This window comes from Homo sapiens, chromosome 3 (assembly GCF_000001405.40).
Source record: "Homo sapiens chromosome 3, GRCh38.p14 Primary Assembly".
Taxonomy (NCBI): Eukaryota; Metazoa; Chordata; class Mammalia; order Primates; family Hominidae; genus Homo; species Homo sapiens.
The window spans coordinates 147,419,433-147,445,460 of record NC_000003.12 but is presented as its reverse complement, the minus strand read 5'-3'; the positions used below and the strand labels follow the sequence as shown (position 1 = coordinate 147,445,460).

Sequence of the window (26,028 nt, the reverse complement as noted above, 5' to 3'; positions counted from 1 at the left end):
AAAGAAAAATATAAATAAAACATAGAAGGAAATCAAAGAGTAGTAGAAATGTAAGACTTTTTACCCAGGGTTCCCAAATAGAAAAAATATAAATTAATAAACAGGTTTATTTCAAGAAGCAATTATTTGTATTATCAAATTATATATACATGTATTATACAAAGTGCAGTCATAGATATATATAAAAAATTAATCCAAAAGTTAATCCAAAAATCCAAGAAACCCTAACACAATAAAATTATTTTGAGCTCTTAAAAAAGTTATCCAAGTTTAACAAAGAAGGAAACAAAAGACACTGGGCTCCACTTGAGGGTGGAGGGTGGGAGGAGGGAGAGGAACAGAAAAGATAGTGGGTACTGGGCTTAATACCTGGATGATGAAATAATATGTACAACAAATTCCTGTGACACGTGTTTACCTATGCAACAAACCTTCACATGTACTCCCAAACCTAAAATAAAAGTTAAAAGAAAATGTTTTCCAAGTTTAAAGACCATGCTTGTTTTCTCTGATTATTTGCAACTCAGTTTCTCAAAAGACATAGTTACCAGAATACATGTACCTAACCAAAAATGTCTAAGTAACAATAGATAACAGAGATCTTCATAGAATTGGAATCTGGGAAGAATCTTCCAAGTATATAACATGTCTATGATATAAATTCACCAAAAATCATCCAAGAGAAAACCCAATGAGCAAATCAAGATTTGACAAGATAGATGCAGTTGAAGGACTAGAAAAAATAAAGTTCAAAATTATTTGTCCTTGTTAGTCACAAATATTATTTGATATTCTCCTAAGCAGCAACAAATATTTAACAACTTCTAAACAGTTCTCAAGAAATACTCATGAAGTGCCTCTGTACTAAGATTGGGGAATAAAAGCACAGGCTCCTGGTGGACAGTGAAGAAAGGAAAAAGGCTAAAAGGAAATCAAGGTGTTGGGAAAAATAAGGACAGTTTGAAATTCAGTGGGTTAAAATTTAAATGTTCAATGGTAGATTGTTACAAAAAAATTGATTTAAAGGGCATAAGAAATTATGGATGAAATGATACCAACCCTGGGATTTTCTTGATAATAATATAGGAATGGGGAGTAGAGTGAGAGTATGAAAGAAACATGAGTGGCCATTAGTTGACAGTTGTTGAAGCTGAGTAACTATTAATACATGGGGGTTGTTATACTATTCATCCAGTTTTTTAATTTTTTTATTTATTGTTTTATTTTTTGAGGGAGGGTCTTACTCTGTCACTCGGGCTGGAGTCGCAGTGGTATGATCATAGCTCACCGCAGCCTTGACCTCCTGGGCTCCAGCAGTTCTCTCACTTCAGCCTCCTGAGACTGAAGGAGTCTGCAGGCATATGCCACCACCCCCATCTAATTGTTTTGTATTTTTTGTAGAGATGGGGGTCTTATTTTGTTGCCCAGGCTGGTCTCAAACTCCTGAGCTCAAACAATCCTCCTGCCTTGGCCTCCCAAAGTGCTAAAATTACAAGTTGCCTTTCTATATTTAAAATGCTCCATGACAGGTTTTTAAAATGGAACAAAGAAGAAATTAAGTAATAAATGAGGAAGAGAGACAAAAAGGACAATTTAAGATGTCTTTATAATTGACTGTCCATGCTGGAACAGGTTGGGAATGAAAGGGAGCAGGATTAATAGTTCTAACTTCTATCAGCCTAAGCCAGGGTTGTCTTCAGCAGTTTAGGATATATAGTCATTCTACTTTTAACCATCAGGTTTCAAACAACAGGGTACCAGGATTTAACATTTTAACAAAACAGAAAACGTACAGAACAACTTGGAATTGACAACATTTAGATCATTAGCAGCCAGTTGTTATTTAAGTCTTTGTGAAGAATTAGTTTCAAATGATTGTCATGATTATTGATCCTTCTGTGCTATATAAGTTGAAAACTGCTTACCGGGGATTGAATCTAGCCTACAGAAGTATGTGTGTTTTGGCCTGCAATGTACTGGGCAGAGGGCAAAAAAAAAAAAAAAAAAAGAGAAAGAAAGAAAAGAAAAGAAAAAAAAAACTTTGAGTTAGTTGACGTTTCCAAGCTGAAAGATATCATATTAAAATCTTCCCTTAAAAAACTTGAGAGAGTGTTAGCGCTAGTTGGGCATTGTCACGTGTCAAAAACGGGCTGCAGCACAGCATCCTCTCTCTGGTTTTCCCCACTTCTTACCTCTCCCTAGTGATTTCTAACGCTGAGAAGCTTTGCTTATTTTCCTTCTTAGGCTCCTACAGGCATCTGAGTTTTCAACCTTCATTCTAGATCATTGTGTCAATGCCAAGAGCATTGACACAATGAAAGTGAGGCTGGCTGTAGAAGCTGTCATTTTATAAGTAATTTGAAATATAAATCAACAAGTCCAAGCAAATAATTTGAGCATTTTTTAAGATTTGTAGGGTATATATTGTACTACAATTGTTTAAATAAACCCAACAGAGGAAGTAATTCAATTTGAAAATTTATCTTTAATTTGTCTACATTTCAAATTGTTTCATAACTGCCAAGGAAATTTAGCCTGAATTTATATGAATTCAGAGCTCTCTTACTAAAAATGACAACAGCCAATCTATAGTCCATTGGCAACATACACAGTTCCAATCTACAGCCCACTGGCAACATACACTTAGAGGCCCTGGCCCAATAACGGCTGCTCACCTACTTTTTTCAATAAGCTCAGAATGTCAATGGGTGTGCAACTGTTGGCAAATCTTTATTAATTACAAGGCTCATAAGCAACTGTGCAATGTGGAAGGTTGGGGAGAGAGCTCCATTCTGAAAAAAGAGTTCAGAAATAAATGGGGTTTCCAATGACAAAGCATTCCAAAATAAGATAGTTTTGACAGTAGAGAGAATAGCATAGGAAAGCAAGGATGCTCATCATGGACACTGGTGTCCAAACAACAACTAAAAAAAAGGCTTTCAGCTGGGCACGGTGGCTCATACCTGTAACCCCAGCACTTTGCAAGGCTGAGGCGGGTGGATCACTTGAGGTCAGGATTTCGAGAACAACCTGGCCAACATGCAAACCCCATCCCTACTTAAAATACAAAAATTAGCTGGGCCTAGTGATGCACACCTGTAGTTCCAGCTACTTGGGAGCCTGAGGCAGGAGAATCGCTTGAACCAAGGAGGTGGAAGTTGCAGTAAGCTGGGTTTGCACCACTGCACTCCAGCCTGGGCCATAGAGCAAGGCTCCTTTTTTTTTTTTTTTTAATATAAAAAAGACTTCCAGTCTCTAGCATAGGCCAGGCATGATGGGTCACATCTGTAACCCCAGCACTTTGGGAGACCACACGGCAGGAGAATTGCTTGAGGCCAAGAGTTCAAGACCAGCCTGGGCAACACAGTGAGAACTCATCTCTACAAACAATTTTTTTAAACTTAAAAAATTAGCCAGGTGTGGTGGTGCGTACCTTTATTCCCACCTACTTAGGAGGCTGAGATGAGAGGATCACTTGAGCCTAGGAGGTCCAGGCTGTAGCGAGCTATGATTGTACCACTGCACTCCAGCCTGGGTGGCAGAGCAAGATTCTACCTCAGAGCAACAACAACAACAAAAATCTTTAGCACAAAGGAATCAAAAAGGTACAGGAGGTTTCATAAGAGTGACCTAAATGTTTTAAATATATACACATATTTCTGGCAAAAGTCTGTGTGACCTGAACTGATGTATCTTGTGAAGTGAAGAACTGTTGGCCTTCTTAGTGTTGGTCCTAATGCAGAGAAAAGAGGAATCAGAGAGGCCAGTTTGGAAGACTTTAGTTCCTACTGGTTTCCATGATGAAATTTCCACTGCAGCCAGGCTAGTGTCCACATTTGTCTCTGTATGACCATTCAAAATGTTTAGCCTCACCCGCATCTCTGGATTTCCACTGAACATCATTTATATTAGTATTTTAGGGTATGGGTTATTGAAGTTCTTGGTGATAAAGTACACGAGCTAAAACCTATTTAGACACCCATCTTAAACACTTTGTATTCCTTCATACAATTAAAAACTATGAAATGATTAAGAGAAATAAGTTAGAGCTATAAAGAACAGCAGGAATCTCAGGACATATTGTTCAGTGACAAAATTGCGTGATACCCAATGTGACTAACTTATTCACTGTATATACTCACAATCTCAGAGTCCTCTCTTCCTATTGTCTCCTTTCAAACCCCCTCCAAAGACATCTTTATCTCCATGATCATATCTCCCTTATTCATGTTCATGTTCAGTCACTAACATCCTTGTTACTGAATTGGATGATCAGCTCTCTTATTTCATCTGAATTGACCTGCCATCAATATTGACACAGCTGATCACTCCCTCCTTCTTGAGACATTGTCTTCATATGACTTCCTGGACACAACCCTCTCCTGGATTTTCCTTCTCTTCACTCAATATTTTCAGTCTTCCTTGTTAGCTCTTTTATATCTTTAGGACCTCTGAATGTTTGAGTGCCCAAGATTCAGGCCTTAAACTTCTATCTATGTATTAATTTTGGTGGTCTCTTTTAGCCTCAAGGCTTCAAATACTGTGACTATGCAGATGGCTCAAAAATCCATCTGCCTGTTCAACTACTCCACATAAATATCTGAAGGCATCAACTAACTTGACATCCCCAAAACTGAGTTTCTGATTTTCACCTAATACACACCCCCAAAACCTTCCCCTTCCACAATCTTCCATATGCCAGTTAATGAAAACTCTATTCTTCCAATTAGTCAAGGTCAAAAACATGTCAACCTTGACCTCTCTCTTTCACATCCCAAATATAATCCATAAGAAATCACTGTGCATGCTACCTTCAGAATCATTCCAGAATCTTGACTGTTTACCACTTTTTCTGCTACTTCTTTGTCAAACTTACTAAGCTCTCTTTCCTGAATCATTGTCATAGCCTCCTAACATCTGCCTGCCATTAGCTCCTTCAGTCTCATCTCAACACAGAAGCCGTAATAATCCACTTGAAATATGTCAGATCAAGTTACTTTGCTGAAAACCTTGCAGTGCCTTCTACCTCACCAAGGATAATATCCAAAGTCCTTACACTTATTAACAAGAACCTAAATGATCAGTTCTCTCTCTCCCCCAGTTCTCCAAATCCCTTAATCACTCTGACCTCTCCTACTTTTTCCTCCCTTGTTCACTATGCTTCAGACTCATAGAACTCCTTGATATTGTCTGAGCATTCAGGTCATTTGCTGTTTCCTCTGCTTATGATGGAAGTCTTGGCTCAAATATTACCTTCACATTGAACTGTCCTATAACCACCTCTTTTGTTTCCTATATATCTTCATGACTTATTTTTCTGCACAGCATGTACAGTTTTTCAAAGTACCATAGTGACATACAGTCATATGCCATATAATGATATTTCAATGACAAGACCACATATATGACAGTGGTCTCATAAATTATAATGAAGTTGAAGCATCCCCATCACCTAGTGATGTCTAGCCATTGTAATATTGTAGCATAACACAATACTCACATGTTTGTAGCAATGCTGGTGTAATCTACTGCACAGCCAGTTGTATAAACGTATAGGTCTGCCAGGTGCAGTAGCTCATGCCTGTAATCCCAGCACTTCGGGAAGCTGAGGCCAGTGGATCACCTGAAGTCAGGAGTTTGAGACCAGCCTGGCCAACATGGAGAAACACCTTCTCTACTAAAAATACAAAATTAGCTGGACGTGGTGACGCATGCCTGTAATCCCAGCTACTCAGGAAGCTGAGGCAAGAGAATCGCTTGAACTTGTGAGGCAGAGGTTGCGGTGAGCTGAGATCATACCATTGCACTCCAGTCTGGGCAACAAGAGTGAAACTCCGTCTAAAAAAAAAAAGTATAGGTCTACCTCATTTTATTGCCTTTCACAGATATTTTGTTTTTTCACAAATTGAAGGTTTGTGACAACCCTGCATAAAGCATGTGCTCACTTTGTGTCTCTGTGTCACATCTTGGTAATTCTCACAATATTTAAAACTGTTTTATTATTATTATTATATCCATTATGGTGGCCTGTGATCAGAGATTTTGGATGTTACTATTGAAATTGTTTGGGGGTGCCACAAACCATGCCCACACAAGATAGCAAACAATCAATAAGTGTGTGTTCTGACTTTCCACAAACAAACCATTCCCCAGTCACTCTCCCTCTCCTCGGACCACCCTATTCCCAGAGATACAATAATATTAAAATTACGACAATTAATAATCATACAATGACTTCTAACTGTTCAAGTGAAAGGAAGAGTCACACATCTCTCACTAAATCAAAAGCTAGAAATGATTAAGCTTAGCGAGGAAGGCTGTCAAAAGCCAAGCCAACAGCTAGGCCTCTTGTGCTAAACAGCCAAGTTGTGAATACAAAGGAAAAATTCTAGAAGGAAATTAAAATTGCTACTCCACTGAAAACACAAATCATAAGAAAGTGAAACAGCCTTATTACTGATATGGAGAAAGCTTTAGTGGCCTGGATAGAAGATAAAATCAGCCACAACATTATCTTAAACCCAAGCCTAATCCAGATTAAGGCCCTAATTTTCTTCATTTCTGTGAAGGCTGAGAAAGGTCAGAAAGTACAGAAGAAAAGTTTAAAGCTAACAGAGGTTGGTTTATGAGGTTTAAAGGAAAAAGCCATCTCTATAACATAAAAGTGCAAGGTGAAGTAGCAAATGATGATGTAGAAGCTGCAGCAAGTTATCCAGAAGATCAAAAAGTTACTATACTAAACACCAGATTTTTCAATGTAGAAAGAACAGCCTTCCATTGGAAGAAGACGCCATCTAGGATTTTCACAGCTAGAGAGAAGTCAATGCCTAGCTTCAAAGCTTTAAAGGATAGCCTGACTCTCTTCTTAGAGACTAATGCAGATGGTAACTTTAAATTGAAGCCAATGCTCATTTGTCATTTCAAAAATCCTACGGCCCTTAAGAATTAACGCTAAATCTACTCTGCCTACGCTGCATAAATGGAAGATGAAAGACTGAGTGACAGCACATCTGTTTAGAACATGGTTTACTAAATACTTTAAACTCACTGTTGAGACCTACTGCTCCGAAAAAAAAAAAAAAAAATAGGTCTTTCTCCATATCAGAAATCAGGCTGTTTCACTTTCTTATGATTTGTATATTTACTGGAGTAGCACTTTTAATTTCCTTCTAGAACTAAATAGTACTGGTCTTTGACAATGCAACTAGTCTCTCAAGAGCTCTAATTAAAATGCAGGAGATTAATGTTTTCATGCTTGCTAATACAGCAACCGTTCTGTAGCCCATGGATCAATGAGTAAATACATTTACATCTTATTATTTAAAAAATACATTTTGTAAGTCTATAGCTACCACAAATACGGATTCTGCTTATGGATTGGGAAAAAACAAATTGAAAACCTTCTGGAAAGGATAAACCATTCTAGATGCTATTAAGAACATCCTGGGCTGGGTGCGGTGGCTCACACCTGTAATCCCAGCACTTTGGGAGGCCAAGGCGGGTGGATCACCCGAGGTCAGGAGTTCGAGACCAGCCTGACCAACATGGAGAAACCCCATCTCTACTAAAAATACAAAATTTGCTACATACGGTGGCACATGCCTGTAATCCCAACTACTCAGGAGGTAGAGGCAGGAGAATCTCTTGAAATTGGCAGGCGGAGGTTGCAGTGAGCTGAGATCAGGCCATGACATCCAGCCTGGGCAACAAGAGTGAAACTCCATCTCAAAAAAAAAAAAAAAAAAAAAGAACATCCTGGATTCATGGAGTGGTCAAAATATCAACATTAACAGGAGTTTGGAAAAAGTTGATTCCAGCCCTCATTGATGACTTTCAAGGGTTCAAGACTTCAGTGGAAGAAGTCACTGCAGATGTGGTAAAAATAGCAAGATAACTAGATTTAGAAGTGGAGCCTAAAGATGTGATTGAATTGCTGCAGCCTCATTATAAAACTTGAATGGATAAGGATTTGCTTTTAATGGATAAGGATTTGCTTTTTATGGATAAGCAAAGAAAGTGGTTTCTTGAAAGGGTATCTATTCCTGGTGAAGATGCGATGAACATTGTTGAAATGACAAGGGGCTTAGAATATTACATATATTTGATGAAGCAGTGGCAGGGTTTGAGAGGATTTACTTCAATCCTGAAAGAAGTTCTACTGTGGGAAAATGCTCATGGCCAGGAGTGGTGGCTCACGCATGTAATCCCAGCACTTTGGGAGGCTGAGACAGGAGGATTGCTTGAGCTCAGGAGCTCAAGACCAGCCTGAGCAGCATAGCAAGATTCCATCTCTATTAAGAATTTTAAAAATTAGCTGGGCATGGTTGTGTGTGCCTGTAGTTCCAGCTACTTGAGAGACTGAGGTGGGAGGATTGTGAGCCCAGAAGGTCAAGGGTGCAGTGAGCTGTGATTATGCCACTGCACTACTCCTGGGCAATAGAGTTAGACTCTGTCTCAAAAAATAGAAATAAAATAAATAAAAATAAAATAAAATGCTTTTAAACACCATCTTGTGCTATACAAAAATGGCTCATAAAAGGAAGTGTTAATTGATGCAGTAAATTTCATTATCTTATTTTAGAAAATTGCCGCAGTCACCCCAACCTTCAGCAACCATCACCCTGATCAGTCCACAGCCACCAACACTGAGGCAAGACACTCTACCAACAAAAATATATTACTTGCTGGAGGCTCAGATAATCATTAGCATTTTTAGACATAAAGTATTTTTAATTAAAGTATGTACATTGTTTTCTAACACATAATACTATCGCACACTTAACAGACTAGTATAGTGTAAACATAAATTTTATATGCACTGGAAAACCAAAAACGTTTATGTGTTGTGCTTTATTTTGATATTTGCTTTATTGCAATGGTCTGGAACCTAACCCTCAATATCATTGAGGTATGCTTGTACAGCACATACAATTATGTGTGGTACATAATACTTGGTAATGATAATAAATGGCTATGTTACTGTTTTACAGATTTACTATATTATCCTTTTTTGTTATTTTAGAGTGTATTCCTTCTACTTGCAAATATATATATATATTAACTAGAAACAGCATCAGACAGGTCGTTCAGGAGGAATTCCAGAAGAAGGCATTGTTATTAGGAGATGACAGTTCCGTGCATGTTACTGCCCCTGAAGACTTTCTAGTAAGACAAGACGTGGAGGTGGAGGACAGTGATATTGATGAACCTGAACTTGTGTGGGTCTAGGCTAATGTGTGTGTTTGTATCTTAGCTTTTAACAAAAAAGTTCAAAAAGTAAAAAAGAAATAAAATATTTTAAAAATAGAAAAAAGCTTGTAGAATAAGTATATAAAGAAAGAAAATACTTTTATACAGCTATGAAATGTGTTTGTGTTTTAAGCTGTTACTACAAAAAGAAGTCAAAATTTTTTTAAAAAAATTTAAAGTTTATAAAGTAAAAAAGTTACAGTAAGGTAAGGTTAATATATTATGGAAGTTTTTTTAACAAATTTAGTGTAGCCTATGTGTACAATATTTATAAAGCCTATACTAGTGTACAGTAATGTTCTAGGCCTTTACATTCACTCACCACTCCCTCACTGACTCACCCAGAGCAACTTACAGTCTGAAAAGCTCCAGTCATGGTAAGTGCCATGTACAGATGTACCACTTTTTGTCTTTTATACAGTATTTTTACTGTACCTTTTCTAGGTTGAGATATGTGTAGATACACAAATACTCACCATTGTATTACAGTTGCCTACAATATTTAGTACAATAACATGCTAATACAGGTTTGTGGCCTAGAAGCAATAGGCTTTACCATGTAACCTACATGTATAGTAGTCTATACCAACTAGGTTTATGGAAATGCACTCTATTATGTTTGTAAGACAACAAAATTGCCTAATGATGCATTTTTCAGAACATACCCCCATCGTTAAGCAATGTGTGACTGCCCTTACTTATTTAATTTTATGTCTGTTTGCCTCCCCTAGAATTTAAGCTCCATGAAGGCAAGAATTTTTGTTCATTTCTTTCAATGTTGAATCTCCAGTGCATTCAATTAATATTTATCAAACAGAGAAGTGAATTTATATGATACTGTATGTTTTCTATGGAGCATGTGTGTGTGTCTTCAAACCAAGTCTAGCTTAGGGAGGGTTGGGAGTAGAATAATGGTAAATGGGTCATGATTGGCAGTGGGTGAAAGAGACTATCAAAATACTTTATCCCTCTATTGTTTTCAGTTTTTAAATATGATATAGTCATTAATTATTTTTATATAATGGAGTTATTATTTGTTAATGATAATATAACGCATGACATTACAGTATGCCTGTGGACCAGGGCATATATCTAATTCAAGCTGTGGAAAATCTGATTATCGGCCGGGCGCAGTGGCTCACGCCTGTAAGCCCAGCACTTTGGGAGGCCAAGGTGGGCGGATCACCTGAGATCAGGAGTTTGAGACCAGCCTCAACATGGAGAAACCCTGTCTCTACTAAAAATACAAAATTAGCAGGATGTGGTGGTGCATGCCTGTAATCCCAGCTACTTGGGAGGCTGAGGCAGGAGAATTGCTTGAACCTGGGAGGCGGAGGTTGCGGTGAGCCAAGATCGCACCATTGCACTCCAGCCTGGGCAACAAGAGTGAAACTCCGTCTCAAAAAAAAAAAGAAAAAGAAAAATCTGATTATCTTTCACAGGAATTTAATTTAGAATTGGGTCAGTGTGGACTAAGTCAGTCAGAGAACTGTGAGGACTAGAACCATAGGCCACATGAATTTGAAACAAAGGTCAACCAATACCACATATCAGGTGAATTTATGGAGAGATAAAGGGACCGTGGATAGGGAAATAAAGCTTACATGAAAGGAAAAACAGGAGCATAGATGCATCAGATGAGTGGAGACAGAAAGCCCATGGCCTCCTACTTCTCAGTGTCATTCACATGTAGAAACTACATTTTGTTTTCTGTCCATGTTCTTTCCTTTCATAAGAATCCTTCAACTTAAACTACTTTAAGTAGAATTTTATTCCTTGAGATAGTAGATTCTTAACTTAAATACACAATATCTTTTCCTCTGGATAAACTAAGGCAATACCCCAACAGTTAAAAAAATGCAAAATACCAGAAAATGTACTCAATGCTGAATACAGGCTTTTAACCAAAAGGTATGAGAAGGCCAAAACCAAGGTGGATTCTTGCCTTTGCAGAGTTGTTCAAATATATATTAATTTGTACTACTCTCATTATGTCTTTTTAAGGTTAATTGCTATTAAAACTATTCTCTAACAGAAATCCCTTAATTCTGCCATACTGTCCCATCAATTAAAACAACTATTTTCAGCCTCAATATCCCAAATGCTTGGTGTGTAGATTTGCATGTAATTCACTACTAATAATGAAGTACCTAAATTTATTAGCTGTTTCCCCCTTTCTATGAATTCAAATAATTTATAAATTCCCGTATGTGTTCATAAGTAGAAGAGAAATTAATGGGGGTTACAGGTAGCTCCACAGAGTCACACATTATCCTCAGCCTAGTTTACTATGTCCCAACCCCGACTCTGGAATATCCAAAGGCAGTATGTGACACTAGTGTGAACATATTGCCACCTTCCTATTGTACAGGTTGCTTACTCAGAAAGGCATTCTCTATCCTCTCAAGTTAAGGTAACCAACCAAAAATGTCTATCATGTTGTTCTGTCTCAGTATTATACTTAGCAGTATCCAATACTTTTCTTGTTTGTTTCTTTTTCTTTCTTTCTTTTCTTGTCTTTCTTTCCCACCAGAACATAAGTTCTTTGAGACCTGAAACCCAAGATGCTGTTTTGTTTATCACCATTCCCCCAGCACAATATTTCCCCAGTAGAATATGTTATACTCAGCACAAAAGAGGCTTTCAGCAAATATTTGTTCAGAGGAATAAATGACTGGTTTCATTAACATGCCAAGCTAGGTGCCCCCCACCCCAGGGCCTTTACCTTTCTCTTTACTCAGCTAGACTCGCCTACTCTTGTTCTTTTCGTGGCTGGCTCCTTTACATCATTTAGGTCTCAGCTCAAATGTTGCCTTCTCAGGCAGGTCACGACTGGTTACCCTAGCCTCTCCACCCTCTAAAATCTTCTCTATCCCGTCACCCTGTTTTAGTTCAAGGAAAGCACTTGTGACTATCTGAAGTTACTTTTTCTGTCATTTCAGTGTTTTTGTTGTTACCCATCACCCTACTAGAATATAAGCTCCATGAGGAATTTTGACTTATTCATCTTTATATTTCCATAACCTAGAAGAGGTCCTGGCACATAGGAAGCATTAATAAATGCTTGTTAAACATGTGAATAAAACATTGAATATTGCAGTTTAAAAATACATGCTCACACATGGTATCACCATTTTTCAGTATTGGGATACAGACAACAAACTAAATTGCTATATGTGCAAGTAGTGTTTTCAACAATAAAAATTTCACACATAACACAGATTAAAAGATTGCCAAATTGTATTTTTAAGATGCACTTAGAATCTCGTCTGTGTGCAAGTAGCTTAGGATCAGTAGCTGTTCAACTCTGATTACCCTCATTTAGCTTCTAAGAGAAAATATTTTCTTGTATAGACTGGAAAATGAAATTGCAAAGGAATCTCTGCTACAATTAAACCACGTCTATTCAGAGCTAAAAAACATGTGCCACTATCCAGCGTATATGTGAATGCAAACAGACACAATTCCTAGAGGAAGAAAATTCCCAATCCAGAAAATCCCTCCCATGCCTACATCCCCAAATGTAATTAAGTCACACTTCAAAACAGTCTCGGATCTAAAAGAAAAAAAGTCCTTCTATAAGCCAGATAACCACAATTACTACCACCAAAAGTCATTGGTTACTGAGTTGCCCATAGCTGACTGACTGGAACTGTCAAATGTAGAGATAGTCACTACTAAGATCAGTTCTGTCTTACAGTCCTGCAGGTCTCCAGCTTTGTAACCATTCCTAGTCAATCTGTAGGCACCTGTGACGTCTCCCTTTCACTCATCATCTTTTGGGAGCCTTTCCTGATTAACTTCATTCAGTCAATCATTTGGTCAGTCAGTCAATCAACTATTATGTATGGGGTATCTATTATGTAACAGTCATGTTTGGTATGCTGGAAATATATCAGTGGACAAAACAGACAAGAATCCTCACCTTCATGGAGCTTACATTCTAATTGCATTGCATTCATGTTAAAAACAGGTAAATACAGAGATGGCGAATAGTAGATATTTGGAAGAGATGAATAAAGAGAGTCATAGATAGATACACCAACAGATGGGAGTGTTGATACATAATTATTCTATATCTCCTAGGACACCCAGAATTATATAACTAAAGATTATATTTGGTATGAATCAGGTATGTTGCTTTCCAGTTGTTTTCTTGTAACATTATGTGTGCATGTGATCTTCATTATGGGTTTCTCTTGGGCAGAAAATATGTTCTTCATTATCTTGGTACTATATTCAGGGAGCAAGTTGTACAGTGTCCCAAAATAGACTATGAGCTCATTAACTGACGGTTAAGCAATACGTTGCATTTATAAGATCCTTTTTAGCTTTTTAACTTTTTAAAGGCACTTTCCCTCATAGAAGTAAAAAGCAGAACACAAGTTACCAGAGGCTGATAATGGTAGCGGGAAGGGAGGGATAGGGAAAGACTTGTACAGGGTACAAAATTACAGCTAGATAGGAGGAAAGAGTTATAGTATTCCATACTACTGTAGAATGACTGTAGTTAGCAATAACTTATAGTTTCAAATAGCTAGAAGGAGGATATTGAATTTTCCCAACACAAAGAATTGATACATAGCAACAAGAAGAATTGAAATGATGGAGATGCTAAAATTACGCTGATCTGATCACTATACACTATATCTATTGAAACATCACTATGTACCACATATATATATATGATTATCATATATCAATTTAAAATTTAAAAATTTAGAGGCATTTTCATGTACATTATTATTATGAATAACATGTACATGTTCTCATTCTAATGCTAGATCAAAAAGAAGGCTATGGATTGCAGTAAGGGCCATAGTACAAGTAATATGTTTGAGACCACCCGCTTTGTTTGCTAAGAGCCCAACCAGTCTTGTTTTGCTTTTTCTGAATGTCTAACAAAATTCAGACTGTAGAAAGTACAGGCATCAGGCAGTTTTAAAGCACAACATTTGGCCAGGAGCAGTGGCTCATGCCTGTAATCCTAACATTTTGGGAGGCTGGGGCAAGTGGGTCATTTGAGCCCAGGAGTTTCAGACCAACCTGGGCAACATGGTCGAACCCAGTGTCTACTAAAAAATACAAAAAAAAAAAAGCCAGATGTGGTGTTGCACCTGTACTCCCAGCTACTCAGGAAGCTGAGGTGGGATGATTGCCTGAGAAGTCGAGGCTGACTGCACTCCAGCCTGTGAGACTGGAGTAAGACTGTCTCAAAAAAAAATTAAATATAACTTATTAAAATGCAGATTTCTGATCACCACCCCTACCCCAGGCATTCTGGTTTATTAGACTTAAAGTGATGCCCAGGAATTTTTAACAAACACCTCCTAGGTGATTTGGATGCAAGTCCTGAGAAACATTGGTCTAGAGAAAGCTTACTTGAGTGCAAAGGATGGACGAGGGAAGGTCAGTCAATTTGATGCCAAACTGGGCATGTTCAGATATAGTTTGGTACCAAAGCTCTGTTTCAGCAGGCATAAGACAGTGATAAGCCACTTTTTCTAAGTGCTGTAAGAAGAACCACTGCTGCTGGAGATGTGTTGACCAGGATCTAGCTCCAATGAGGAAAGAACTAGGATGCTTCTAATGTCCTAGTCTCATGGTAGGGTCTAGGGCTATAGACCTTAGACGAGATTTGGGTCTCAGGCAGTAAAAGCTGGTTATAGCAAGCTCAGGGAAGGAAACTAAGACAGTATTACACTTTGTGAGCCAGATAAACTTTGGAAGAAAGATAATTTTGCCACTTTGTAGGACTTGCTTGTTCTCATCTCTCATATTTCAGATCTGGTTATAAAATGGGGAACAAAAATGTAAACTAAAAATAAAGGCCTATCATAAAAACCCAAATCCAAAGATTATCATTTAATCCCAAATTTTATAATGAATTATAGTTGAGGATGTGAATGTGTTTTCAAACTCCAGCAGGAATGGCCTGGAAATAAAGTGTAAAGGTCAGCTATGTTACGGAAGAAGAAACAATGAGGCAGGAGTTAATTCCAAACTCCAAAAGTTCACGTTTTCCACCAGGAAAGTGAATGGCCCAGCATTATGCTATAGCAATAATCTCATTTTAAAATCTATAACTATCATTATTTTTGCCACACACTGAGAGAAGTTTTGTCATAATCAATGCACAAAACAACCACTAGCAGAATGTAACAACTAGATATTTCCATATATGTCAGAACAATTAGATGACAAACATTCAAGTAACTGCAAGTTTAAATTATTAAACAATATCTTTTTCTTGCAAGGTGTTAGAAATTGATATGTAATGTATAAGGGGGCCTGGAGAAATATGAGTCCCTATTTAAACCAGAGGGAGAATTTTTATACATGTGAAATTCAAGATTGAGAGAGGTTCACTGCTTTGTTGAACTACATATCCAGGTTGTCCAGGTTGAGAGAAACAAACTTAATACCCTTCTAATTTTAAAGTTCAAATATTTTCTTTAAAACTTCTGACTTCTCTGCTGATAGATAAATGGATATGTCAACATTTAGGGGGATTTTTTCCTGTCTTTACATGTCATATTTAACAATTTTTAAGAAAAAAATTTAAGCCTATGCAGAAGAAGAGAAAATACTGTCATGAATTCCCAAGTACCCATCACCCAGCAATGAAAATCTTGGTTCTTCTTACATTCACTCACTTCCTCTTCACCTACACCTATTTGAGGCAAATTTCAGGTATCATATCATTTCATCCATAAATAGTTCAGCATAGATCTCTAAAAGATAAGTGCTTTTTTTCTAAAAAAAAAAAAAAGCCACAACATATGGTTTTATATAATTTAATGAAATTTTTAAAAATTACAGCTAAATCACAGGCATAAACATATGAATTATTTTATTGATAATTGGGAGGTTGCTCTAGGTGGTTCAAAGCTGAAATCCAGTGGTTTTCAGTGACAGTTTTTCATACCATAGTTTTCTTTATACCAGTACAAGTTCACATGATTTTTTTTTTCAAAAAGCCCCCACAAATTCTTAGTCACCATATCTTCTTACACTCAGAAACTTTTGAATGAATTATTTTTATTCTACCATACTTATTGGGCCCTGAGAATTATGAGATTTCCCACTTGAAGCTTCCATTTTCATTGATTATAATGATAATCAACTAAATTATCCTCTTCCTCTGGAGAGCTACAGAGCTTCTTGATTCCAGTGGTTAATAAAGGCTCTGGTATCGAAAGCAGCACTTTGTTAAAAGGAGTGAGAATAATGACGCAAAACCTCAAACCAGGCAGTGTTCAGAAAACATACTAGTTGTCTTTGAAAGCCATTTGCTTGGTAACAATTGTTAACTATATATCAGTTAAATAATAAATAGTTGCATATAAATATCTAGGATGTGCTTCAAAATAATCTTGAAGGAGAATAGTGAAAGGAAGTATAAACTAAATGAGATTGACCATAAGTTGATAAATGTTGAAGTTGGATGATAGAGGTTTATTATACTCCTCTCTATATTTGTATATGTTTAAAATTGTTCAGAATAAATTTTTTATAAAGAGAAAATAAATCACATGAAAATGACAAAATATACACAAAACAAAGTACTCAAACACTCTTTGCAAATGCTCCTGCCCAAAGCCACTCATCTAAACAGCTAGCAAGTACTAATCAAACTGCTGTATGTTGCACCACTCTCCAATTGAACCAAAGAACAGCAACAAAGGAGTGAAAACAGGAATTTATAGAATTTGAATGCAACCAGTTTCAGAGAACATGAATTATTCCCTGGTTTCATGAGGGTTACTATCGATGTTAAAAGCAGGACATAAAATTTTCTTTAAAAATACTGCCAGAGAACAAGTCAGCCTCAGGGAAAGGAAAAATGTGACTTAATATTGCAGAATAAATTGAAAATTTATGAAAAATTTGTCAGTATCCCAACACTTTTATAGTAAATACTTTAAGCTGAATAAAAATGAACAACGAAACTATAATAAAAGTAAGAAAAGGCTTATTTGTTAGTGACAAGGAAATCTGTATTTAAATCTAACAAGTAATAAAAGGGGGAGGAATACTGTACTATTCTGCAAAGTTTAAGTGTTCTGATGGCCAAGCAGTGTCTTTTTTTTTTCAAATCCTTTTCTGGAGTTGTTAGAACTTGATCTCTGCTTGATCTGACACCCTTCAACCATGAAGTGGACATCCTGGGAGCAAAATGCTCTGACCAGCCCTGGGGCCCGGCACTCACAGAGCCTAAGCCCATCATGGGAGTCCAAGCTAGCTAACTGCAGATGGGTATGCCGACAAAACTGCCCCCAAAAGACAGAGGCCTAGCGAGGATTCAGACAGCAAGCTCACAGCACCTTTTAAAAATTTCATATTGCCTTAGGTTCCAGAGCAAGGATGAGGAGAAGAGAAGGAGGAAGAGGCAAAAAGGGGAAGGGAACAGGGGATGGATGAAGGAGAAGTTTGGGATACATTTTGTTCTTACTTAAAAGAGCACGTAACACCCAGTATCTTCTAAAGGGAAGCAAAAAGTTTAAAAATTCTAAGTTTATGCATGCTTCTCTTATGGCAAATACTATATTTTACTTTGTATATGGTTTAATTATATATGTCTCTTCTGTTAAATTCCTGGAGTGAAGAAAGTATTTGGAATTTATTTTTGAAATGCCATAGCCTATATAACAATGGTCATATTTGTCTTTAATGTTTGTTGAGTTAATTAATTAATCAATCAATTAATCCATTCAGGTGCAGTCAGCTGATAGGTAACAAGCCACAGCTGCAGAACCTGTAGGTTGAATAATGTACTCAATATATTTCACTCTTCACACTGATCCAGCAATGAGAATATGTAGAAGAGTTGTTATGCTTTCTTCTTATTTTTATTACTTAACATAGTGGGATTTGTATAGCATTCAGTGAATATAGCAAACATATTTCACATCTATTTACCAATGTCCAGAACCTAAATTTCACACTGTACCAAATGCACGCCTTTTAACAATTGAATTTAACATTGCTTCCATCTTGTAGGTACATTCTATCCCCGATTCAGAAAAATATGTATTATTATTCATATAAATAAAACATTATGACAGTATTTTGTTTTCAAATTAAGAGAGAAAGGTAGGTTTTCTGTATTTTCCCTTGTTTAATAGAGTGCTTATTTCTGAAACAAGACTCTCAGAAAAAGAAAAATTTTAACAATGAGGTTTTACAGTATGACTTGTCAGTTAACTGCATTTATACCCAAGTCAATTAAGTAGACTACCCTTATTTAAATGTTTTTACAAATAAAATTCTATCTTTAAAAGTTTTTTTAAAAAATCTATAAGCAACAGTAAGCCAAATCACTCCTCTCAGAACTGTATAAAAATTTAGAAAGCCTCTTGTCCAGGGCACTGAAGTTCACAAGTAAAAAAGCTAAGAACCAAGGACATCAACTGACTTTACCAGATCAGAGAGTGAAATCATAACTGAAACATCATCAAAAATCACATAACCCTGATAAAATATTGTCTAAATTGTACAAATCACCTATTTGAAGACAAACACACATAATGACATTAAAATTTGGCACTTCCATTTAATTATTGGTGTAAATCTGTAAATATTTATTGATTTGAAAACTATAATAATATTAGCTGAATTTTTTAATCTAGTGGATTTCCTGGGATTTTTTCCTGGCCAAAGTGTTATACACATAGTCTGGAATATATCTTAGACCCATAAATTTCAGCCTGCTGTACCAAAAATAGCAGAGCCCTCAAGAAAGATTTATAGTATGTGAAAGATGTGGTATATAAAATAGAAACACAGCACTGAAGTTACTGAATGCTGATTAACTGTTGCCCTCAATTCCAAATATTTTTCAATCTCATTAACACACATGTTTGAAATTTAAAATAAAAGTCTAAGTATTACAAGCCATAAAAATAGTTAATCATTGTTAAAGAAAAAAATTTGGACCCTGAACTTTTGCTTGTTTTTATTTATCCCAAATGAGGTTTATTTTCATTGTTCTTATATTTGTGCAGGTATCTCTTTTTTTCTAATACTCTTAACACACCAACTCCTGAGTGATTTTATTGATGCATGTTTATGAAATTTTATACATGTATTATTGTGACCAATTTAGCTTTCTAAAATTCACCTTCATAAAGATTTAAATACCACAAATAGATTATACTTTATATAAGAATGAGCTTCCTTTTCACTCATGTTTTATAAAATAATTATTACACATTTCTGAGAAATAAGTATATATGTGTTGTGTTTACCATGTAATTAATGGTTAAAAATAAATTACTAATTTAAGAATAAAATCATCACCAACATAATTCTGGATAAAAGACCATCTACAGTGATATGAAATTTCCAAAAGAAAATTAAAATTTAGTTCATGATTTTTCTGTCTATTAAACACTAAACAGTTTGCCCTATAAGTACTTTTCATACTTTTCTGGATATTTGTACCTCCTAGAAAATATAACTAAACAGCTTTTTATTCTGACCCTGTAGATACTGACAAATACATTTACATGCATACTTATAAAGATAATCTTATATTTTCAAGAACTGCTATTTACTGACAATATGCAATGACACATGTGAGTTCTATTTTTATACACAGGTTCTTCCAGGAGGAGTTTTTAATTCAGTTAGTTAATTTCAAGGAAATTAGTTATGACAAATGAGCTAATATTCAAGCCATTAGAATTTGCAGAGCATTGTTTCCACTTATATAAAAATTATCTAAATTTGGGTGGGTTTTAAAGTTTAATTCTAATTTCTCTTTGTTCTTTTTCCAGCAAATCACTTTAGTATCACCTGTGGAATTCCGTTATGAATGACATTTTTTTTTTCACTTTGCAAGGAAGAGCCCAAGAGAGAATTCACTTCACAATGACCCTGCTCTGCCCTGTATTTATTCGGCAATGATCCTCAGAAGAAGGATTTTGAAAATGCATTGGAACTCGAACCAAGAGCGAATGTGATTTTGAAGACTTTATTGCTGCCTAAAATTCTATTTTAAGCTACTTATTATAATTCTTTTTAAAACAAAAGAAAAAAAAGGAAAGATGCTTTTGCTGTTACAAATGAAAGGCTGTGTTCCTGATGCCGAATTTCACTGTTCATTTCTTTTGGCCTTGTCGGTATGGGGAGGGGTTGTTGTTTCCTTTTTACTTAATAACAACAATAATAATATCAGATATTGGCTAAGGATCTGACCAAATGGAAGGGGTGATATGAACAAGATAAATCCAGCTTTAGGAAGCAAATACCCCCTCGGCTGACAGCCCCTTGTGCTGGAATCTACAAGGAAATTGTAGCAATGCCGTTCCCACAAGAACAAATATTGGCACTTCCACTAGGAATCCCCCCAAACCAAGTGGAAAGTGCGGAGCTCATACCTACAAAAGAGTGGACCCAAGGGGCAGACCTGGAGGGAGGAGGGTGAGAACTTAGTAACAATGCTTTAAGAAACCAAATCACTGTTTCTTATTGAATTTTATCTTTTCCTTTCCCGCTGCCTCCTCCCAGAAGAAAAAGATATATATATATATGTATCAGCTGCCAGCAGAATAGCTTGCGCTTTCTTTGCAACATTTCGTGCCTGATAATTAATGATGCCCACGCCGGGCGCCTGTGGCCTGGACTCGGGTTCCAGCCGCCAGCAGCCCCTGACGTCAGTGGCGGAGCTGCCTGCGTCAGGTCCCCAGCAGCCCCCGGGTGGCCCGGACTGGAGCTCCGGGGGCATGCAGGGAGGGAGTCCCGGGCAGGGTCGGATAAAACCTCAGAACTGTCGAAAGGGGCTTTCCTCGCACTCGCTCGAAAGTCCTGTCGCAGTTAGAATGCCAGTGTTTGCTGCTCCGGGGGACTCACAGGCACCTCAGACTGCGACAGAGTCTGGAGGCCCAAACCCGGTATAGGCTCCTGGGGTAAAACGGAGTTGAAAGTTCTAGAAAAAAGGGCCAGGGAGAAACAGGGCAAGTCTATGAACAGTGAGTGCTTCCTTCCCTCCACTCTTATATGGGTCAGCGTAATACTGTTTTCCACTGACTCCAAAAATGTGGACCTTAAACGAAATGGACCCACCGTTTCTACTTTAGCTTGACACAAGTTGGAAGTTGGGAATCCCGGAGAGTTTCTCATCCGTGAGCTGGTGCTGGTACCCGCCACTGAGGGAAAATGAACTCGACCTCGCACTTAACTAACCACAGTCTTCCCTCTTTCCTTACTCTCCCATCCTTCTCCAGCTTTTTCTTTCTCCATTCTTCTCACCTTTACAACCCTCCCACACTGGAGAGTTATCAAGATTATGGAAAGGTTTGATTTTCCAAGGGGGACTTTGGCCTCTATCGTCCAGAAAAGTGTGTTCAATCACCCGCAGTTGCCCATGTACTAAGAGTCGGGGGACCCGAGTTTGGGAAGCCATCGGCGCATGCTTGGGACTGAGTCTACAGAACTACTTCTGGAAAAAATCCTGCAGCTCTCATGGGCCCTATCCTCTTGGGATTTCTTCAACGTAGGCTGTTGGGGAACAATTTCTCTTCCCTAGAATCCTGAGAGTATCTTTTTTTCATGATAGTGGTTGCCTTTCTCGTTTAACTTTCCACCTTTTCATCTACAACCGGAGGACAGGGGGGAGTGGAGGCAGAGACTCCTTGAATAAAGATTTGAGACCACAACTGATTTTTGTGCGTTTTCTCTTGGAATAAATTCGGGTCCCAGGAACCGCGCCTGCATGGCTCCGCCAAAACCCGGCGGCAAAAAACAACACGCAGGTGCGGAAAATTGCGTCTGCCGCAGCGATCGGCACCCCAGGACAGCAGCTGAAGGAAGTCAGCCATTGGAGGGCTGCGGAGCTCAGAGCTAGAACACAATTTCGCTTCGCCCTCCCGCTTTCACCAGAGAGTAGCTGGGAACTCGTGCAGGAGTGAATTTCTCCCCTTCTCCAGTTGAAAGCAGTTAGCGGGCTCTGTTACTGGGGGAAAGAGAATAAAAGCATTTTCTGGGAATGCGCTTTTAAAACTTAGAACTTTAATGACAAGTAAGTAAAAGAACACGTTTCCCGAGCCAGTCAATAAATACCGCGTGAGCCGCCTCACCCGCCAAGCAAGTGGCCTCCCAGTCCTGGCCGCAGCGACGTCTCCAACTCCAGCCCCATCTGTGAGGCCGAAACGCTGCAGTTTCAGCCGCTGAGCGCCAGACCAGGGACTTAGTGGCCAGCCTGCCTTCCCTTTCTGAGCTCCAAAGTCTGGGAATAAGTCGAACCAAATTAAATAGAGATGCATCTACTTTCAAAAGGCTTTAAAAACCTGTGACTATCCCCTTTCCATGTGCCACACTGCCTGGTGGATATAAATTGTCACACTCTAGTATCTCCAGCGAGTAAAACAGAAACACACAGACACACACAACACACACACACACACACACACACATATGAATCTCAAAAAAAGTATTGTCGTAACTGTGACACTGTCTTCACAGCCTTGACTGGTATTAGGATTTCTTAGAACGGAATTCATTAAAAGGAGGTGATTAACCTTATTTATAAGCATTGCCTCAAAGTGGCAACTTAAAGGATTTTAGGAATTATTCAAAAAATGTTTCTGTTTTGTTGTTTTGCTTTGTTTTGTATGTTGGTTGTCGTTTTTATTTGGGGGGCTTTGTTTTGTTTTGCTTTTAAGGATCTAGGAATGTGTCTTTTACCCGGTGTCCTTCGCTGCCCTTTTCAGGGAGAAATTGGACTGCCTGACACTTGATTAAGCCTCAGGACTTAGAAAGATCATTTCCTCGAACACTAATTTGAGCGAAATCTGGATTGAGAGTGTAGGTTTACACGCCCAGCTCGAATGTCTAATGTATCAAATCCTCGTTAACGAACTGCCCGCTCCGTGGCCGTGTCAGCCAAAGGTCAGCCCCTTGCAACAGGGCACCGTGGTTCAAAAGCCCTCTTCCAGGGCCCTACCTCCCCCTCCCACCCCAAAATCCATCTTTCACATTTCAATAATAAAGCGCACGGAGCTCCAACTAGAAATGCCAAGGTTGTTTTTCTTTATTTACTTCTTTCTTCACATTAGTGACATGTAAACGACGTGACCTAAGGCAACTACTGAAAAATTAAGTTTATTTTTTCCAGTGGGAAGGAAGTGCAGTTAGTGGACAAGGTAATTGTCGAAGCATCCTCAAGAGGCACGTATATTTGAGAAGCTGTGACTCTTAGAAACCTTAACTTAAAATAGTAATAATAACAATTTCACAGCATTCAAATGGAAACCGCCCAGTAAACTTTGTTGAAGACCTTAGTGATTAGAAACTGCTTAGGGAAAGGGACAATTCTCTTCCCCCGCTGCCCCTTTCCCCTTTTAGAGACCAGCAGAAAGCTTATTCTTAAAAGATGGCTTTGGTGTCAACAGGGCCAAGAGGATCCAGAAGAGTGGGCCTGCACTCTTTTCGCTCCCGCCTCACTGGGGAGCCCCGCGACATTCCTGACTACCCTGGAGCGTACGGCGTATAAACGTATACACCCCAGCGGCAGAGGCCGAACTAGCGCAGCAGTTCCAAATCAGCCCAACTTCTCAGCGCGCGCCTCAGGCCACGCGCGCGCACGCTGTCGCGGGCAGAGTCCGCTAGTAAGGTGGCGGGGCGGGGTAGGGGAGGAACGCGACTTACCAGGTCTGGGATCTAGATTTCGGGCAGAGTTGGTAGCTGAGAGGCCAGCAGACAGATTCAGTCATACCGGAGACGGGCAATTTGGGGAGGTCTACGGCGCGAGTGGAGGGAAAGGAAGGCACCAATGCGGTTTGGGTGTCCCCCTTCCCTTGGTCCATGCCCGCACTCCCGCCGCCGCCTCCACATACTAAGCTCGGCCTGGCCGGGAGAGGACTCAGAGCCCTCCTCGCCGCCATCCAGCCAGAGCCTCCGGCGCTCCCGGGCTCTGGCGCCGACCCCAGGGACGCCTAGGGGCGGGGAAGGGATGTCCCCACTCTCCAGCCCAGGAGAGGGTAACAGCGTTGCCGGCACGGACGCTAGCTGCCAAGCTGAGCAGCCGGACAAGTCCGCTGCGCCGGGCCGCTGGCTTGCAGACCCCGACCCTCTCCCGCCCCAGCCCCTCCCTTCCTCAAGCCCCTCGCCAAATGAAAAGGGTTCTTTGGGCCTTGGCCTTTTGGGGAAGACGCGGGAACCCACGCTGAGTTTGAGTTTTCTGTTCAGAGCAAGGCCCACACAGGTCATCGTTAGCTTGGAGTCCTTAGAGTCTAGATAGCCCACTCCCCACAATACTCAAACACAAAGGGACCCAAATCACGAATGGGTTTCTTCTGGAGTGGTCCCTGTGGCGGGGGTTTGGAGGAACGAGGGTTTCTGCGCCCCTGACTAGACGCTGGGAGCCCTGGCTTCCGGGACCTAGGACAGAACTCGAACCCTCATGCCCCGGCCACTTTCTTCCTAGTCATGAGTAGTGAGGGGTGAGTGGCTTCTGCCAGGCCTCTGTGGGCCTAGCACTCGGTGGCAGTGGGTGAGGGTCGTTGAGTCCGGCAAAGAGACATGGAGCAGACGCTCTTCAGCCATCCTTGCGTTATTGAGCTCGGAGACTCGGGAGTTTGGGTAGGAAAAAAGGCACTGTCCTGGCAGGAACATTTCCAAAGCCTCCCTCCCTGCGTCCTCAGGTTCCACGCTGAAGGCTTGGGGAGTGGTAGTTGTCGGGTGAACTGATACTGTGGTCCCGGTATTCCAAAACTGGCACAGATGGAACTGGCCCTGGGATAGACTGCAGTGTGAGCCCGGCACTGACCTAGGCATCCTGTTCCCAGTGAGGGAAATGAAATGATAAGCTCCACAAAGTGGGTCTACCTGTTCAAATGAAAGTAAAAATCTAGAGTAGGATTGGAATCTGTCGGCAACCACTTCTGATGTTATGGGACCCAGGATTCTTACTAAAACACCCAAAGGCTGTAGATGTTAGTCGGTCAGAGGTTAGAGTGACCCAGGGACCCTCTGTTGCCCCTCCCCTTTGTTTACAAGCGTTGGCCACTCCACCTAGAAAGATTATACGCTCACTCTGGAAATGTCAGCACATTGGCCACAAAATACCATGCAGATCCCCAAGGACTTCACTAGAGAGGAAAGCAATAATCCAGCGACTGAACCCAGGTGTCTCTCACCAAACCCTACCCTTTCTGGTCTCTAGGCCAGGGCAGTTCCTCCACCAGTCCCGACGTTTGCGCTACCTAAGCACGTTTGGATTTAACAGGACCATTTCAACTCCAAGACAGGCAAGCTGACTGGTATTATTTGCAAAGGGTCAAGTGGAAACCCTAGAACAGTCATTCAAGCAAATGGCTCCTAGTATCTCAAATGGGGCGGTGGGAGGCTGGGGAAATGCCAGAGAGCAAGAGGAAGTAGGAGAAAAGAGTGGGAGAGAGAGGCGGAAAGACAAAGACAAGCCGGCACCCAGACTTGGATCTGGGCAAGGGATGAGGGAAGGGCCTAGGGAACCTCCCCCAAGCCGCTGCCCGGTCACCTGGGGCCTGAGCTCTGACTAGGGGTAGGCTAAGTCTTCTCCGAGGGGCTAGGGATATGAGAACAGCCGGGGCGGCAGCTCGGGCTTGGGAAAGGATAAGAGAAGAAGGCCTCCCTGGTAGGCCCGGTGTAAACTGGAAGCCCAGCCACCCGATGCACTGGGGTGTGGCCGGCTGGGGCTCGAGCACCATGCAGCCCCCGGCCCTCGGCGGAGAGGCCCTGACAGGCCCGCTCAACTCGCCGTTCCAATGGCAGCAGCCCCAGGTTGCTCTACCCTCT

The 26,028-nt window shown here is 39.7% G+C and overlaps 1 long non-coding RNA gene across 1 annotated transcript in view, besides 1 other annotated feature; it reads right to left on the bottom strand.

The window, feature by feature from the left end:
* Window positions 1-24,134, bottom strand: part of LOC440982 (uncharacterized) — an 88,584-nt gene extending 64,450 nt beyond the window's left edge. Inside the window, exon 1 of the long non-coding RNA NR_121655.1 lies at window positions 23,902-24,134. This is a non-coding gene — a long non-coding RNA (uncharacterized LOC440982). The remainder of the gene's footprint in view (window positions 1-23,901) is intronic.
* Window positions 24,297-25,225: an enhancer, noted in NCBI's record as "H3K27ac-H3K4me1 hESC enhancer chr3:147138023-147138951 (GRCh37/hg19 assembly coordinates)". NCBI's record gives its function as "activates a minimal SCP1, AML or CMV promoter by ChIP-STARR-seq in naive H9 embryonic stem cells {active_cell/tissue: H9 hESC(naive)}" and the evidence as "EXISTENCE:reporter gene assay evidence [ECO:0000049][PMID:30033119]".